The following is a 15,698-nucleotide window of genomic DNA, read 5'->3' on the forward strand; positions in this document are numbered from 1 at the left end:
GGGCCAGGTCTATCTCTTTCCCTCTTCTTCCTCTGACACAACTCTCAACATAAAGGGGATGTGCAAATGATTTCTTGGATGAATTGATGCGATACGTGATAGGTATAAATAACCTTTGACCCATATTCAGAGGAGGAAGATGGGTTCCAGCTGAGAAGGACCAGGGAAGGCTTGGAAATGTAATTTTGAGCCAGAAGAAAAAATGATGAGAATCTGATTCTTTGATTTAGTAGATGAGGAAACAAAAGTCCAAAGTCGACCTACCGAAGTTGGGACTCCAGATTGCGATAATCCTTGAATGAAGGTTTAAGAGCTTATAGGCAGTGGGAAGTGGAAATGCCCAAAGACATCGTTGTTAGAAAATCCAAGTTTTCTGTAATCCCAGCAATTTGGGAGGCCAGGTCAGGAGGATTATTTGAGCCCAGGAGTTCAAGGCTAGCCTGAGTAACATAGTAAGACCTGAGCTCCACAAAAAAAAATTTTTAATTAGGTGGGCATGGTGGCATGTGCCTGTAGTCCCAGCTACTTGGAAGGCTGAGGTGGGAGGATCACTTGGGCCCAGGAGGTCGAGGCTGCAGTGAGCCCTGATTACACTCCAGCCTGGGTGACAGAGTGAGACCCTGTCTCAAAAGAAAAAAAAAAAAAAACAAGTTGCAGAAAATACAGCAAAGATACGGAAGATAAGGATTTTAAAGTGCCTAATGAATTTAATAGTTAGGATTTTAGAGCCATTTCATGGAAAGGTGAGGCTTTGAGGGGTAGGAGGAGTTAATGGGAAGTGCAGATGGAAAAAAGATGGTGACAGATGTAGACACAATCAGATGACAGATGTGGGTAATACTGTTGAAGGAAATGACAGGGTGGGTAATATTGTTGAAGGAAATGAGTCCATTGGCTAATAGGAGTGTATTAGTCTATTCGTGTATTGCTATATAGAAATATCTGGGACTGGGTAATTTATAAGTAAAGAGGTTTAATTGGCTCACGATTCTGCAGGCTGTACAGGAAGCATAGCAGCATCTGCTTCTGGGGAAGCCTCAGGAGGCTTCCAATCATGGCAGAAGGTGAAGTGGGGACAGGCACATCACATGGTGAAAGCAAGAGCAACAGAGAGAAAGTGAGGGGGAGGCGCCACGTGCTTTTTTCTTTTCTTTTTTTTTTTTTTTTGAGACGGAGTCTCGCTCTGTCGCCCAGGCTGGAGTGCGGTGGCGTGATCTCAGCTCACTGCAAGCTCCGCCTCCCGGGTTCACGCCATTCTCCTGCGTCAGCCTCCCGAGTAGCTGGGAGTACAGGCGTCTGCCACCTCGCCCGGCTAATTTTTTGTATTTTTAGTAGAGATGGGGTTTCATCGCGTTAGCCAGGATGGTCTCCGTCTCCTGACGTCGTGATTCGCCCGCCTCGGCCTCGCGAAGTGCTGGTATTACAGACGTGAGCCACTGCGCCCTGCCCACATGCTTTTAAATGACCAGAATCACTATCAGACAGCACCAAGCCATGAGGTATCCGCTCCCATGATCCAAACACCTCTCACCAGGCTCACCTCCAGCATTTGGGATTACAACTCAACATCAGATTTGGATAGGGACAGATATCCAAACTCTATCAAGGGCTAATCAGGTGAGGAGAGAGAGACACCTTCCCTGAACTTGAGAGAAGCAAATGATGTGAACTTCCTAGACCTTGCACCTTATGACCCAGAGTCAAGACCCCCTCCTCAACTACTCTGCTCAACTGTTGAGCCCACTCACAACTCACACTAGCAATTCTCACCTCCCCAGTCCTGGATGCCAGGGAGGTTGCTGTTTTCCCAGGTCTTGCCTTGTTTTGCTGCCCCTGAGGACAAGCATTAAGGCTCTCTTCTTTGTAAATCATTTAATGCAAATATGTGGAGAGGTAGAGCCAGAGCAACTCAAATAACACAGTAGAAGTTTTAAAGATGATTATTTATATATCATTCTTACACTTCCTGACCAAGGTCCATGGTTCCTGACTTCTGACAGAGATGGCAACTGGAATCCAGGTTGTCTTCTGCCTTCTGCTTTGATTTCTATATGAGGGTGCATCAAAATCCATTCCGATGGGCTTCCTTTATAAAGACCCTTCCTTCCAGCAGGACAGTAAGTGTTCCTTAGTCTCAACTTATGTGTATGTGTTGGAATACAAATGTAAACATTCTAAATTAAATATCAGCAAATGCAATCTAGCAATGGATACAGGAAAAAAGACAATATGACCAAATGGAATGATCTGCCAGTTTGGTTTTTCTTTTAAACTTTGTGATATGGTTTGGATTTGTGTCCCCACCCAAATCTCACGACAAATTGTAATCCTCAATATTGGAGGTGGGGCCTGGTGCTGGTGATTGGATCTTGGGGGCAGATTTTTCCCTTTGGTGGTGTTTTCGTGATAGTGAATTCTCATGAGATCTGGTTGTTTAAAAGTGTGTGGCACCTCCCCGCTCTCTCTTCCTCCTGCTCCAGCCATGAGAAGTACTTTCTGGCTCCCCCTTCACCTTTCACCATGATTGTAAGTTTCCTGTGGCCTCCCCAGAAGCCAAGCAGAAGCCACTATGCTTCCTGTACAGCCTGCAGAACTGTGAGCCAATTAAACCTCTTTTCTTTATAAATTACCTAGTGCCAGGTATTTCATTATGGCAATGGGAGAATGGACAAATACACTTCTTTTATCAGTACTTACCAGCATCAAAATTATTATGGCTTTATAAAAGAATTGAGAAGACCAGCCTCTGTGGCTTATACTGGTAATCCCAGCACTTTGAGAGGCTGAAGCAGGAGAATTTCTTGAGCCCAGGAGTTTGAGATCAGCCTGGGCAAGAATAGTAAGGCTACAAAATAAAACATAAAACATTCAAAAATTTTAGCTGGGTGTGGTGATGTGCACCTATAGTCCCAGCTACTTGGGAGGCTGAGGTGGGACAAGTTCCTTGAGCCCAGGCATTGGAGGCTGCAGTGTACTGTGATTGCACCATTGTACTCCAGCCTGGGTGACAGAGGGAGACTCAGTCTCTAAAAATGTTTTTAAAAAGAATTGAGAAGCTTTCCATATCTTCATATGGCCTGAAATAAACACTGACATTATCTGCCGTTACAGGATTAGGGAAAAGACATGAAACATCTGATTTTCAGGCTCTAATGGTGGATTTTTAAACTTTTTTTAATTTTTAATTTTTGTGGGTACATAGGTGTATATGTTTATGGGGTACATGAGATGTTTGATACAGGCATGTGCTGCATAGTAATCATGGAAAATGGGGTATCCATCCCCTCAGGTATTTATCCTTTGTGTTACAAAAAATCAAATTATACTTTTTTAGTTGTTAGTTATTTTTAAATGTACAATTAAGTTATTATTGACTACAGTAGTCACCCTGTTGTGCTATCAAGTAGGTTTATCCATTCTTTCTATTTTTTTTTATCCATTTACCATCTCCACCTTCTCCCTCAAACCCCCACTACCCTTCCCAGCCTCTGGTAACCATCCTTTTACTCTGTATGTCCGTGAGTTCAATTGTTTTCATTTTTACATCCCACAAATAAGTGAGAACACGTGATGTTTGTCTTTCTGTGTCTGGCTTATTTCACTTAACATTAATGGCCCCAGTTCCATCCATGTTGTTGCAAATGACGGAATCTCATTCAATTTTATGGCTGAATAGTACTTTATCATGTATAAGTAACACATTTTCTTTATTCATTCATCTGTTTATAGACACGTAGGTTGCTTCTAAATCTTAGCTATTTTGAACAGTGCTGCAATAAACATGAGAGTGCAGATATCTCTTTGATATACTGAGTTCCTTTCTTTTGGGTATATACCCAGCAATGGGATTGTTAGTTTATATCGTAGCTCTATTTTAAGATTTTTGAGGAACCTCCAAATGGTTATCCTTAGTGGTCATTCTAATTTACATTCCCACCAACAGTGTACAAGGGTCCCCTTTTCTCCACATCCTCACCAGCATTTGTTGTTGGCTGTCTTTTGGATATAAGCCATTTTAACTGGGGTGAGATGATATCTCATTGTAGTTTGGACTTGCATTTCTCTAATGATCAGTGATGTTGAGCACCTTTTCATATGCCTGCTTGCAATTTGTATGTCTTCTTTTCAGAAATGTCTATTCAAATCTTTTGCCCATTTTCTGATCAGATTATTAGATTTTTTTCCTATAGAGCTGTTTGAGCTTTTTATATATTCTGGTTATTAATCTCTTGTCAGATGGGTAGTTTGCAAATACTTTTCCTATTCTGTGGGTTGTCTCTTCCTTTTGTTGATTGTTTTCTTTGCTGTGCAGAAGCTTTTTAACTTGACGTGATTCCATTTGTCCATTTTTGCTTTGGTTACCTGTGCTTGTGGGGTATTGCTGAAGAAATATTTGCCCAGACCAATGTCCTAGAGACTTTCTCCAACGTTTTCTTGTAGTAGTTTCATAGTTTGAAGTCTTAGATTTAAGTCTTTAATCCATTTTGATTGGATTTTTCTATATGGCAAGAGATAGGGGTCAAGTTTCATTTTTCTGCATATGGATATCTAATGTTCCCAGCGCCATTTATTGAAGAGACTGTCTTTTCCCCAGTGTATGTTCTTGGCACCTTTGTTGAAAATGAGTTCACTCTAGGTGTATAAATTTGTTTCTGGGTTCTCTATTCTGTTCCATTGGTCTATGTGTCTGTTTTTATGCCGGTACCATGCTGTTTTGGTTACTATAGCTCTGCAGTATCATTTGAAGTCAGGTAATGTGATTCCTTTAGTTTTGTTCTTTTTGCTTAGGATAGCCTTGGCTATTCTGGGTCTTTTGTGGTTCCATATAAATTTTAGGATGTTTTTTCTATGTCTGTGAAGAATGTCATTGATATTCTGATAGGGTTTGCATTGAATCCATAGATTGCTTTGGGTAGTATGGACATTTTAACAATATTGATTCTTCTAATCCATGAACATGGAATATCTTTCCATTTTTGATGTGCTTTTCAATTTCTTTCATTGGTATTTTATAGTTTTCATTATAGAGAGCTTTGACTTCTTTGGTTAATTCCTAGGAATTTATTATAATTTTATTTCTGCCTACTGTAAGTGGGATTACTTTTCTGAATTCTTTTTTACATTGTTCACTGTTGGCATATAGAAATGCTACTTATTTTTGTATGCTTATATTGTATCCTGCAACTTTACTGAATTTGTTTATCAGTTCTGCTTTTTTGGTGGAGTCTTTAGGTTTTTCCAAACATAAGATCGTATCATTTGCAAACAAAGATAATTTGACTTCTTTCTTTCCAATTTTGGATGCCCTTCATTTCTTTGTTTGATTGCTCTAGCTAGGCCTTCCAGTACTATGTTGAATAACAGTGGTGAAAGTGGGCATCCTCATCATGTTCCAGATCTTAGAGGAAGGGCTTTCAGTTTTTCCCCATTCAGTATGATACTATCTATGGGTCTTTTGTATATGGCTATTATGTTAAGGTATTTCTCTTCTATATCCAGTTTTTTGAGGGTTTAACGGTTGGTTTTCGAGCATTTTTTTTTTACTGTCTTCTGTGGTGATCAGTGTATGCAAATTTTTCACTTCTTTTTGTGTTCAGTTGATTGTATACTTATATAGGAAATAATGCATTCAAATGTGTTGAATGCATTATTCACAGAGACAGGGGTTCATAATTTATATATTTAATTTCATCTGTATTTCTAGTTATTCTTCTTTTCTCATTTCTAATTTTCTATAATTTTGCTCTTTTCTCCTTTTAATCAGCCTCACAAGATTTATCTATTTTGTTCTTTCAAAGAAACAAGTTCTTTATTTACTAATTACTTCAACCATTCTTTTTGCCATATATTTTATTTTTCAGCTTTCATCTATGTATTTATTCTTCCTAGTTGCTCTTTTTTAATAAGAATTATAATTTTTCTAATTTCCTTAAGTGAATAATTGGTTCATTTTTATTTTATTTCTCAAAGGCAGGTTCTTAAACCAATCAATTCTTCTCCGAGTGTAGCTTTCTTGTCTTGTACATTTTGCTATTAAAGTGTTCTCCTTGTCATTCTTTTATAGAAATTTAGAAATTTCTGTTTTGGCTTCTTTTTGTTTAGGAGTGACCACTTTTGGACATTTAATAGTAATTGGTTCTCCAATTATTGACTTCAGTGAGTTTATTTTTGATGTAATTCTGCAATATCTAATGAAAACATCAAAGGTATTCAGCTGCCTGCCCCTAAGTGCAGTAAACCCTGATACATCACATCCAGGCATTACTTCTACATTTCTGTCAGTATTTCTATAATTATTTTTTTTAATTACACCTTTTTTCCATGTGAAACTTTAAGGGCAAGTTAAAGTATTTAAAACATGTTCGTGTTCCTTCCACTGTTCTTCTCCTGGTTCCTCTCCTTCTTGTCCTATGACCATGCACTTCATCAAGCTGAAACAAATCTGTGTGCTGGGTCACCGGAGAGCTGAGTAAACACAGGAACGTAGTACCCCAAGTAAGCGCTGAAAATGAGGGACATGCGGTGCCTCTAAGATGTTCACATCACCTATTTGGCTTCTGTTCTGCAGTAGTGACAGCTCTAGTTGGCTGTAGTAGGAACTGAAATTTTAAAAGGGGAAGGGGGTGTGGAGGTGTAAACCAGCGTTTGAAGGAACTCATCTTGCAGTTCTGGATGTTGAGGATCTGGGATAACAGACTGAGCAGACAGGAACTGGCCAAAATGGAAATGTTCAAGCAGAGGCAGCTTGGCCCTCTATCAAGAAAATTCTGGAGAGCCACAGAGGCTGGAGGAATAGGAGAACTTCAGGTAATCTCTATATCTCCTTACAGCAATATCTATAATTCTTTAGCAGGAGCAAAGAAGACAGGAAGGAAGTTTTCTTCCCCTCCTTCTCCAGCTTGTCTCTGGTTCTATTCAGCTTAAGTCAATTTCACAGTCCCATTTATCCTCGGCTTGTGCGTGACCAACCTTAGGAAGAAAATCTTTGGAATTGAAAACCTCAACTGGCCATTGTAAAAGGGCAAGCAAGCCTCAAGATGGTGTATGTTTGTTCAGGGAAGGGGGCATAGGCTACAATTTTAGGAAGTGTGCAAGGAATATATATATATATAGTTTTAATGTTCTTTAAAACCACCTCCTTCCTGTTATGAGCCCCATCCCCTCAAGCCAGCAGGGAATGTCACGTGAGTCCTGAACAGGATGCTCTCCACCTCCAGAGCGGATGTGCCTTCAGACACCTGTATCCTAGGTGTCTCTGACAGCATAGCATCATCCAGGCCCACAGCATCCCTGAAGTCCTCAGCTTTCTGCTTCTGCAGCATGCTCAGGCCACAGGACCCCCGGGCCCCCCATGCCAGGCTCCCCATGTGTGTCCCCTGCTGCCTCTTCTGAGGTCTGGATGCCACTTGCAGGCCCACAGACCACCCCGTTATGCCTCTCACCTCTCCAGCCTGCCTCCTGGACACCCTGGGCCGTCTCGGCAGTGGGGGCCATCCCCCCAGCCCCCCACCTCCGACAGCCACAAGCTTTTCCAGGCTGCTTCTGTTTTTCTCCTCGACAACTCTCTGGGATAAAGAGCTCCAAACTCCAAAATCCCACTTGAAATGGCAAAAAGAAGGATGCAAGGAGAAAATATGAATTAATATCTCACAAATACTATGCCCTACAAACCAGACAACCTCCTTCATATCTAGTGCAAATTAGATTCCTTTTTTCACTCATTCCCTCATTCAACTGAAATGTATTGAGGGCCTCTTGCATGTCAGGTCGATGGCCAGGTCCTCCCAGCTGAACCCTCAGTGTAATACTTTCCCACCGGGCGTCACTTGTACCTGTCCTTGTCTCTCTCCCGCTCTACTCCTCTGGACCACAGGGGATTTGAGTTCCACGTTGTGACATTCATCTTCACTCCCTCATGATCTAGAACTAGACATTCTCTATTCTAGAATATAATACAATAAATATTGGCAGGAAGGCAGGACAGACTAGATCCTAAGAGAAGGAAAGATGGCAGCACTCGACCAGAAGGGAGCATCGTTCTACAGAAGTCCAGGGAGAAATAATGTTAAAATGAAATGAAATGTATTCTATTCCTGGAACATCAGCTTAATGAGTGAGGAACCTTTGTGCAAACTTTGCCAATAAGGTTTTATCTGGGAGATATTTTTTCTTCTTATTCCACACTACCCAAATGACAATTGTTAATGTTTATTGTGTCTATCCATATATCAATACTGTACAAGGTACTCAATCTGCTTTGTTAGGGTTCTCCAGAGAAACAGCAACAATAGCAGATATTAATACACACACACACACACACACACACACACACACACACACACACACCCTTTGGCTCACAAGCTAGAGACCCAGGAAAGCTGAAGGACTGAGAACATGGGGAGCCAATGATGTTCACCCCAGTTCAAGGGCAGGAGAACATGAGATGGGATGTCTGAGTTCACGGGCAGGAAAGAAGGGACGAATTCCTCTGTGCTCTGCCTTTTGCTCCATTCAGGCCCTCAGTGAACAGGATGATGGCCACCCCCATGAGGGAAGGCAGCCTACTGAGTCCACCTATCCAGATGCCAATCTCACCTGGAAACAGCCCCCACAGACATGCTCAAAAACAGTGCTTAATCTGGGCAACCAGTGGCCCATTCAAATTGACACATAAAATTAACCATCACATGTGTGTAACTGTTTTAATCCTTCAAACCACTCTGTAAAGTTGCTACTAATGCTATCATCCCCCCTGAACAAGCAGTGAGTCCAGGAGGTGGGCATGAGCCCGTGAGGTCCTGGGCCCTGGCCACTTTGCAGGATTGCTGAGGGATGTCACACACCTGTCTCCACTCCCTACCTACCCAGTCTCTTTAGCTGGAAGCAGATTACTCCTTGGCGGATCTTCAACCTCTGGGAAAGTGCGCCAGGGAACACTGCCCCTCAAATGCCCCAGAAAGGTGCAGAGCTGAACAGATCTCAAAAGACAAGATGGACATTTTTCTTCATGTTCCAGCCATGTGTATTGTTCCAGGAGATCAGGAACTAATTTTCCTAGATTAGATGGTTTAAGCATAAAAACAAGTGTAATGCTGTGGACTCAAAACAGGAAGAGGCTCCCCTAATGAATATAGACCAGGGTTCCCACAATGGGTTTTGAGAAACGTTAGTCCAGAGAAATGCCTTTTGAGTGATGCACTGCAAACTTTACCATTCTCTTGGAAAATCCCCATCTCAAAGACCCTGAAAAATCTCATAATAAAGAATCCTGTTTAACCTAGCACTTCTCCTCCCAATTAGATCATGGGGCATTCTCTCCTTTTATAAAGAAGACTTTTAACATCTCACAGCATTCATTTTGGAAAACAGGACTAGACCAATGCTGACCAAAAGAAGGGTTCCACATACAAGATGTGTAGTGTGGTCATTCTGAGTGTCTCATCCATCCTGACCAGGTGGGGACCTGCCAGACAGAATTCCGAGAGGAATCCCTGGCTGCATCCAACAGCGAAGCGTGGCTGTGCTTCCTGATTGGGCATCGTGTGCTCTGCGCCCACTCCCTACCTGCTTAGAAGGCCCCTTGGTGCTGGGTTTGAATGTGGGCCATGGACCCCCAGGAAGGCCCTGGGGCCTTCTAACCGCCCATGGACACCTACGCAGAAGAACAAAGTGGAGAAATTAAGGACTGGGGCAGCTGTCATAATTCATGTGTTCTGTTCTCTCTCCAGACATCCAAGAAAAAGCCAGTGACTGTTCCTGAGGGCGCCTGTTAAGAGCTGGCTTTTTGGCTGTGGTGACCAGTCAGTCACGACCACTCTTCCGAGAGCAACACCAAGTGGAAACCCCGCCAAGTGGGCTTTTCAGGAACCCTCTCACCACCCAAGGCCTTTGGATCTTATATCTAACAAATTACATGTTACATTATTTTTTAAAAAACAGGTTAGTGACAACTAAGATAGTCTCTCCAGAATTAGAGTCTGATGTCAGATTCAGAAAATCCCCCGTTCCTTGGGAATTCCCATGTCACTCATTCTGCATTAATGATATTTATTCTCTCTCATTGTTTTATTCTTAAAAAATAGCTCCCCTGGTTGCAATGTGATGTTAAGTATATTACATGTCAGTTCATATATTACAGCTCGCACCACTCCTGGGTATATGTTTCCAAATAGCTCTCACTCCACAGTTCCAGTTCCACATTAAATATGGGCTGCCATGAGTGGAGCCCGAAAGGGTTGTCTGTTCCATTCCCGCTTCTTGTTTTCCCTGGAAGTATTTTCCCCTCCTATTTTATACTCCTCAGGGAAGATGTGCCCTCCAGTAAGAAAAGTCTACCTGGGGAAGGTAGAATGTGTTCTTGCTCTAGAGTTTCTTGAGGGGAGGTGAGAAGGGGCAGCTGTTTGACAGAGTGCATGCAGCCTTCCAGGGGCTGGCACTGGTTTGGCACATGAGTGGACACCCTGACTAGGGGATGTGGGATGCCAGAAACCATCAAGATCCTTGGAAAAAAGCCAAAATATCCTTCCTTCTGCAACATGAACATCAAAATGAGTTTTTGTCTTCTGTGGCTATCATGCTCTTGACCATCTGTGTTGTAGGGTCATTAACAGACAGTTTCAGGGATTCCGTGGGAGGTCATCCTTTTAGTTACTTCAACAGAATCAACCATGACAACCTAGTTTTATTTCCATTTGCTGCAGGATCCAAGCATAAGGCTCTCATGAGCCACCAGCTTCTTTGTTTCATTCATTCATTCAATTAACATATATTATGCATTGGGTTTCATCCAGTTCCTCAGTGATCAAGAAAAAAACCCAATGTTCTCATCATGCTTGTGGCCTGTGGCAAGGTCCACAGTCCTTGGGACAAAGTCCTCATGTGCCGTCTCCAGATACAGTCTTCACATGGCAGATGCCAGGCAGCGCCAATAACACTTTCCTCTGGTGCGGCTCTTCTAAGTAGTAAACAAGCAGAAATAGACAGCCTGTATGTCATACCCAAGGGGGCTTGTGAAATGATTCTCAGTGGGCCCCAAAGGCTCTCAAAAGGTGAATGAGTCAAGAGCCACTTTCCTCCTGTGCAACTTTGCCAGTTCTGATTTCCCCCTCATACTTTCTCTCAGATTATCTTAGCCATTGCCCAACACGATGTGACGAGCCCCAGGCACCTCTCTTTTTTAAGATAAGGGGGAATCTTCAGAGGAAAAGTGACTGCAACAGGGCCAGGGCACAAGGGTCTCTGGAGCCCACTGCTGTCTCCCTTGGCTGCAAAGCTGAAGGCCTGAGACCCTTGACAAATGAGAATCAGATTGTGTCCAAAATACATCTCAGCCTCTTGGGGCTGTCTGTAGCCATATAAGGAGCTGGTCAAGAGCTATTTATCAGAAAAGTTCTTGAGGGCAAAGAGAACCTACAGGGCACTTCAATTAGCTGAGCAGTCCCCAGCTCTGATGTGCCTGCAGCTGTCACCAGGAAGGGGTATCAACTATTCAAATGGCACTGTTATTGCGCTTTCATATGCAAGGGCTACAAAGTGCCCCCCTTCCCTTCATCAACTCCTTTGAACATCTTTGCCCATATTTGCCTAGGATCTTGGAACTTCAGAAAATACTAGCATTTAAAAATTGCCAAGGTATTGGCAAGTAGGTGTTTTAATCACAATGTCAAATGAGACTGCCCCCTAATCAATGGCCACCACAGCCAAAGACAAGTTCAAAAGATCCTTTGGGAAATCTGCCTCCCTTTTCTACATGATCCCAATAACAGAGAATTTGAGTCATGACAGCTGTCCCAGTCCTTAATGTCTTTGCCTGGGACAAATGTGATTATATCCACTGAAAACCCCAAACCAAAGGGGCCCTATGGCATCCACAGTGAGACCAGTAAGTTCCTTTTGGGTCTCGGTGGGAAACATTTTTATACATGTAGATTTTCAAGACTTGTATATTTGCCTTCAAAAATATCTCTAGATGCCTCTTAATTCTAAGAGGTCTAACCAGATACTAAGAAACACACTGAGTTTTTGAAAACGAGGAGGCGTACTCATCCTACATCAGTTTTCTGCCACAGGAGAGAAAACTGAACTAAGCTTTGAGATATTTGTTTCAACTTTATCTTTCCGGCTGTTTTCTCCCTCTCCCCTCTGGAACATATGAATCCTGAAATTTGATTTGATTTGCCCTGTCAAGTATAGGAAATTTTTAAAAAAGTTCTCCCTCTGTTGATACCATTGTTACAGCACTCAACACTTCCTATTTTAATGTCTCTCTCTGTTCCTTCTATTAGTTATGTACTTATTCATCTTTTCATTCCCAGTGTTTAGCACAATGTTTGCATTGGTGTGGTCAGTAGATGCTGAGCAGAAGGAAAATGGAAGGAGGAAGGAGGGCGGGAGAGACGGGTGGTTAGAGCTCTAGATGTGTTTTCTTCCCTGGGTTGAATGGTGGAAGAACTAAAACCCTCAGGGTGCATGGCTGGGGCCCTGACACTCTTTGCACACTGTAGTTCAGTAGTTAGAAACGAAATGTTTCATCAAGTGTGTTCAGAGCCAATTTACCATAGCCACTTTTTGAAAATTCTCTCCATGTGTGAGTGGGAAAGAGACCAGCTAGAAGAGGAGGTCTGAGGCTAGAAATCCCAGCTCTTTGCTTGTTTTTCCACACCTCATCCATAGTCCATATCCTACTGCAAACCACAGACTTCTGGAACTGGAAGACATAAATAGTCCAGGAGGTCAAAAAGAAGCTATCCAAATTAAGAAAACAATCCCATTTATAGTAGCATCAAAAAGAATAGGCTGGGCATGGTAGCTCAAGCCTGTAATCCCAGCACTTTGGGAGGCCGAGGCAGGCGGATCACCTGAGGTCAGGAGTTTGAGATCAGCCTGGCTAACATGGTGAAACCCTGTCTCTACTAAAAAAAAATACAAACAATTAGCTGTGCGTGATGGCATGTGCCTGTAACTCCAGCTACTTGGGAGGCTGAGGCAGGAGAATCGCTTGAACCCGGGAGGCGGAGGTTGCAGTGAGCCGAGGTTGCACCATTGTACTCAAGCCTGGGTGACAGAGTGAGACTCTGTCAAACAAACAAACAAAACAAAAAAAAAAGAATAAACTATCTAAACAACCAAGGAAGTGAAAGACTTGTATGCTGAAAACATTGATGAAAGAAATTTAAAAAGACACAAATAATATAAAAGACATCCTGTGTTCATGGATTAGAAAACTTAATATTGTTAAAATGTGCATACTACTGAAAGCAATCTACAAATTTAGTATAATCCCCAATCAAAATCCCAATGCTATTTTTTACATAAATAGAAAAACAATTCTAAAATGCATATGGAAGCACAAAGTACTCCGAATAGCCAAAACAATCTTGGGAAAGAAGAGCAAAGCTGAAGGCATCATACTTCCTGATTTAAAAATATATTAAAAAGCAACAGTAATTAAAACAGCATGGTATTGGTATAAAGACAGACATAATAGACCAATGGAACAGAATATAGAGCCCATAAATAAGCCCAATAATAAATATATGGTCAACTAATCTTCCACAGGATTGCCAAGAATACACAATGGGGAAAAGGTAGTCTCTTCAACAAATGGTGTTGGGAAAACTGGTTATCCACAGGCAAAAGCATGAAATTTGACCCCTTTCTTATATTACATATAAAAATTAACTTAAAATGGATTAAAGACTTAAACATAAGACCTGAAATTATAAAACTCCTAGAACAAAACATAGGGGGAAACTTTATGACATTAGTCTTGGCAATGATTCCTTGGGTATTATGACAGAAGCACAAGCAACACAAGCAAAAATAGATGAGAAGAACTATATCAAACTAAAAAGCTTCTATCTCTGCAATGGAAACTAGAATGAAAGTCACCCTGCAGAATGGGAGACAATATTTGCAAACCATACATCTAATAAGAGGTTAATATCTAAAATATATAAGGAATCCCTACAACTTAATAGCAAAAAACCAAATAACCTGATTAAGACATGGGTAAATGACTTGGATAAAAACCTCTCCAAAAAAGATGTGCAAATGATTAACTGGTATATAAAAGGACATCAACATCACTAATCATCAGGGAAATATTATTCAAAACCACAATGACATCTCACCTCACACCTGTTAGGATGGGCCTTATCAAAGAAAAAATCAAAAGATAATTTAATCAAAGACAATTTAAGTAAGTGTTGGTGGGGATGTGAAGAAATTGGAAAACTTGTATGCTGTTGGTGGAGATGTATATTGCTGCATCCACTATGGAAAACAGTTTTGAGCTTGCTTTAAAAATTAAAAATAGAGTCACTATATGACCCAGCAATCCCACTTCTTAGTGTTTATCCAAAAGAATTGAAACTAGGACCTCAAAGAGATATCTGCACACCCATGTTTATTGCAGCATTATTCACAATATTCAAAATGTGGAAATAACCTGTGTCCATCAACAGATGAATGGTGTTTATTAGTCTGTTTTCATGGTGCTGATAAAGACATACCCAAGACTGGGCAATTTACAAAAGAAAGAGGTTTAATTGGACTTACAGTTTCACATGCCTGGGGGAGCCTCACAATCATGGTGAAAGGCAAGGAGGAGCAAGTCACGTCTTACATGGATAGCAGCAGGCAAAGAGAGAGCTTGTGCAGGGAAACTCCCCCTTATAATAAACATCAGATCTCATGAGACTTACTGACTATCATGAGAGCAGCACAGGAAAGACCTGCCCCCATGATTCAATTACCTCCCACCGGGTCCCTCCCACAGCATGTGGGAATTCAAGATGAGATTTGGGTGGGGACACAGCCAAACCATATCAAACAGATAAAGAAAATATCCTATATTCATACAATGGAATATTATTCAGCCATAAAGAGAAGGAAATCCTGCCATGGATGGGCATTGAGGACATTATGCTAAGTGAAATAAGCCAGTCACAGAAGGACAAATATTGCATGATTCCACCATTTATGTGAGGTAGCTAAAGTAGCCAACAGAAGCAGAGAGTAGAATGGTAGTTGCCAGAGGCTGGGGAGGGGGAAGTGAGTGTTGCTCTTCAATGGGTACAAAATTTCAGTTATGCAAGATAAGTAAGTTCGGCTATAGGACATTGTGCTGAAGAGGATAGATCTCATGTTATCTGTTCTTACCACAATAATAATTATAGAAAATAGTCCAGAAGGGTTTGTGGAGTGCCTCCTTCTTTCTTCTTGTTTTCCTACCCTGACAGAGAAGTGTCAAGATTCTTTTAGAAAGAAGTTGTTCCCAGGTTGGGTGCAGTGGCTCATGCCTGTATTCCCAGCACTTTGGGAGGCTGAGGCGAGTGGATCACCTGAGGTCGGGAGCTTGAGACCAGCCTGGCCAATATGGTGAAACCCTGTCTCTACTAAAAATACAAAAATTGGCCGGGAATGGTGGCACATGCCTGTAATCCCAGCTACTCAGGAGGCTGAGGCAGGAGAATCGCTTGAACCCCGGAGGCAGAGGTTGCAGTGAGCCAAGATCATGCCACTGCACTCCAGCCTGGGCAACAGAGCAAGACCTCGTCTCAAAAAAAAAAAAAAAAAAAAAAAAAAAAAAAAAGAAGTTGTTCCCTTAGGACAGGGTTTCTCAGACTCATCACTAATGATATTTTAGGGCAGATACTTCTTTGTGGTGAGGGGCTGTCCTGTACATTATAGGATAT

General features: G+C 41.8%; 1 long non-coding RNA gene across 1 annotated transcript; it reads left to right on the top strand.

Moving 5' to 3' along the window:
- Positions 1,480 to 10,087, top strand: LOC105375466 (uncharacterized). The gene is made up of 3 exons (XR_927896.2): positions 1,480 to 1,617; positions 1,976 to 2,117; positions 9,729 to 10,087. It is a non-coding gene; the product is annotated as an uncharacterized LOC105375466 (long non-coding RNA).
- The last annotated feature ends 5,611 nt before the right edge of the window (positions 10,088 to 15,698 follow it).

The sequence above is a fragment of the Homo sapiens genome, chromosome 7 (genome assembly GCF_000001405.40).
Source record: "Homo sapiens chromosome 7, GRCh38.p14 Primary Assembly".
NCBI classification, from domain to species: domain Eukaryota; kingdom Metazoa; phylum Chordata; class Mammalia; order Primates; family Hominidae; genus Homo; species Homo sapiens.